The sequence below is a fragment of the Homo sapiens genome, chromosome 1 (assembly GCF_000001405.40).
Source record: "Homo sapiens chromosome 1, GRCh38.p14 Primary Assembly".
In the NCBI taxonomy this organism is placed as follows: Eukaryota; Metazoa; Chordata; class Mammalia; order Primates; family Hominidae; genus Homo; species Homo sapiens.
In genome coordinates, this window is record NC_000001.11 from 203,491,363 (window position 1) to 203,494,152 (window position 2,790).

The following is a 2,790-nucleotide window of genomic DNA, read 5'->3' on the forward strand; positions in this document are numbered from 1 at the left end:
TGGTCGCTTCACACAGACACGAGTGAAACTACTGTGTATGAACAGTATAAAGGAAAGGGCTTTTACCTCTACCTGAGGAAAACCAGAAAGACTCCTACCATGTGAGCTGGCTCTTAAGGGATAAATCAGATTTTGCCAGGTGGATGAAAGAAAAAAAGACGCCACCTGGACAGGAAACAGCATGAGTACAAAGGTAGGAAGGTGTGGAGTCTACCCTGTGGGGCTTGTGTGTCTGAAAAAGAGGAGAGGGTCATGTTCCGGTCATGGAGTGGAGTTATGTGGCTACAAGCCCTCAGCAGGGGATATACCCCTGTCATCCAAAACACAGGAGGGTTCCTGAACTTCCCCGCCTCTCTCTCCCTATCCATGAAAAGGGCAACAACAGGGTTGGCTGGTCAAACTTCTGTCCATACCACCTGCCGCCTCCGATTCATCAACACGCCTTTTGCCTCTCCTAATGAGAGATTAGGATTAGGACGCCTCCCCCGCCTCCTGCTTCCTTTGCCAGGCTCTTGGGGAGCTGGGCTGCCTGGAACAGCAGTCTGCGGGGTTAGCCGTTTCCCCCACCAGGTCACATGTACACATCCATGGACAGCCCCTAATATTCATGAGAACAAGAGTGTGTGACCTGTGAGCTTGGGAAAGCAAGAGGAGAAGTTGGGAGAGGGTCTAGGATGCGAGCCTGAGTCTGGATGTGGCTCCTGCAGGGAGTGGGGGGAGCAGGTGTGTATGCATTGGGGAGGAACGATGGTGGGGGTGTGGCAACCAAGCAGGGATGGCAGGAGCGTATGTCTCTGGGAAAGCAGGGAGGGAGAGTGGGAGCAGGCGGCAGGGAGAGTGAATGAACACTCGCATTTGCATTTCTCCCAGGAATAAATGTGTGGGGTGGGAGCGGGGAGATTGCCTAGGCTGGCTGTGGGGGTGGAGGGCCTCTGGCTGCAAAGCCCAGGCTGTGGAGAGAAGATGGAGGCATACAGCCCGCCAAATGTGCCATCTGCCTACTGGATGCCCTCCAGGATCCAGGGCTATCTTTCCCTCCACCCAGCAGAGCCTCTGATGGTGTCTTTTCCCAGGTGGGGGGCTGCCAGGGGTACAAGAACATGCTCTTCTCTGGTGACCAGGCTCTTGGGCTGAGGGAAGCCCCCTCTTGCACCAGCTGGAGCCCAGGAACACAGCAAGCCAAATGCTGCCCTCGAGGGCCAGGCTATTAGATCTGCCTCTTCACCTGGTGTGCCAGGGCAGAGATGAGTTCTGCCAAGCCATCTGCTCTGAGGGCCTGGAAACACACGGATTCAGGACTCCTGGGGAAGAAGGTGGAAATGGGGAGGGTCATATGAACTAAAGAAAACTCTCTGACCAGGGAGTCAAAAAATCTAGGCATTGGCCCTGGCTCTGTGTGACCTAGGGCAAGTCACGTCACCTCTTTGGGCCTCACTCTCCTCATCTATACCACAAGGACTTGGACTAGATCTTTAGGGGGCCTCACAGCTGGAATTCAGTATCTGGTTGGTGGAAAGGAGTAGGGAACAAGGAGAGTCACTGAGAAACCTGGGTGGGCGCCAGGGCACAGGCTGGCAGAAGCTGGGGAAGACTCCTTAGCCACCCCACCTCTGCCTTCAGCAAGGACTTGCTCGGCAGCCTGCTCGAGGCACCAAGGAAAGGGGAGTGTTTCCAGATGAATGCCGTTGGCCCTCTGTATCTGTGGGTTCCACATCCGTGGATTCAACCAACCACAGATTGAAAATATTCAGAAAAAAAAAAAATTCACAACGTTCCAAAAAGGAAAACTTGAATTTGCTGTGTGCCAGTACTATGTGGAATCCATGTGAATGGAGTGAGGTGTAAGCATTGTGTTTGGTGTTATAGGTAATCTAGAGATGATTTGAAGTACACAGGAGGATGTGCGTAGGTTATGTGCAAATTCACCATTTTATATAAAAGACCTCAGCATATGTGGATTTGGTATCCACTGGACGTGCAGAACCAATCCCCCATGGTTACTGAGGGACGACTGTACATCTCTGAGGGTGCGGGAGAGGATACTTCCCAGGCCCCCGAGACCCTACACAATGTCTACTGGTGTTTATGATCCTTTCTAGGGCCCACCTCCCAATTTCCATTTGGTTTCCTCCTAGCAGATTTAGAGAATTTCCCGTATCCTCATGATCATCATCTGTGAACTTGAAGTTGGCTTTCAAATCCGATCTCATCCCCCATACACCTTCTCTTTGAACTACCTAGGCCTGCAGCTCCTGTCTCTGGTGATTTTATTCAATTATGGTCTCTGTGCTGGCGCTCTAGGTGAGGGTGAAGTGCCTCATTTCCACCTATTTTTATCTTTGGATTCTGGCTATGAAGCTGAAGCCTTGTCACTCTCTGGCTGGAGAAAGAAGCTGCAAAGACAAGCTCTATCTCTCCATATCCCCCGACTCCAGCCTTCTCTGAGGACTCAGAATCTGAGGGATGGGGCCCCTTCCTTGCAGGGGATGGCACTCCCTGTTCCTCAAAGATGTGGCCTTATCAGGAGAGTGGACAAGGAAAAGAAAGAAGGAGCTGACAGAGTAAGAGGAGAGAGAGCAGGAGCTGGAGGTGGGGGGTGAAGCGGAAGGTGGGGGGAGAATTCTCTTTTGTCAAATACAGGAATGGGGCAGGGGACCCCCTGAGGAAAGAGGAGGGGAAACAGCTGGACATCAGAAGGAATGAGAAGTCTGATTGGTCGCAGGCCTGGCCAACTCCTTGCCCTCCCCCGGGCACCACTGTCTAACCCAAGCCCCAGTTCAGACAGCCTCC

The 2,790-nt window shown here is 52.6% G+C and overlaps 2 annotated features.

Moving 5' to 3' along the window:
• Positions 98-896: an enhancer, noted in NCBI's record as "NANOG-H3K4me1 hESC enhancer chr1:203460588-203461386 (GRCh37/hg19 assembly coordinates)". NCBI's record gives its function as "activates a minimal SCP1, AML or CMV promoter by ChIP-STARR-seq in naive H9 embryonic stem cells {active_cell/tissue: H9 hESC(naive)}" and the evidence as "EXISTENCE:reporter gene assay evidence [ECO:0000049][PMID:30033119]".
• Positions 2,284-2,512: a silencer, noted in NCBI's record as "fragment chr1:203462774-203463002 (GRCh37/hg19 assembly coordinates)". NCBI's record gives its function as "represses an EF-1alpha promoter that drives an FKBP-Casp9 reporter gene in an ReSE screen in K562 erythroleukemia cells {active_cell/tissue: K562}" and the evidence as "EXISTENCE:reporter gene assay evidence [ECO:0000049][PMID:32094911]".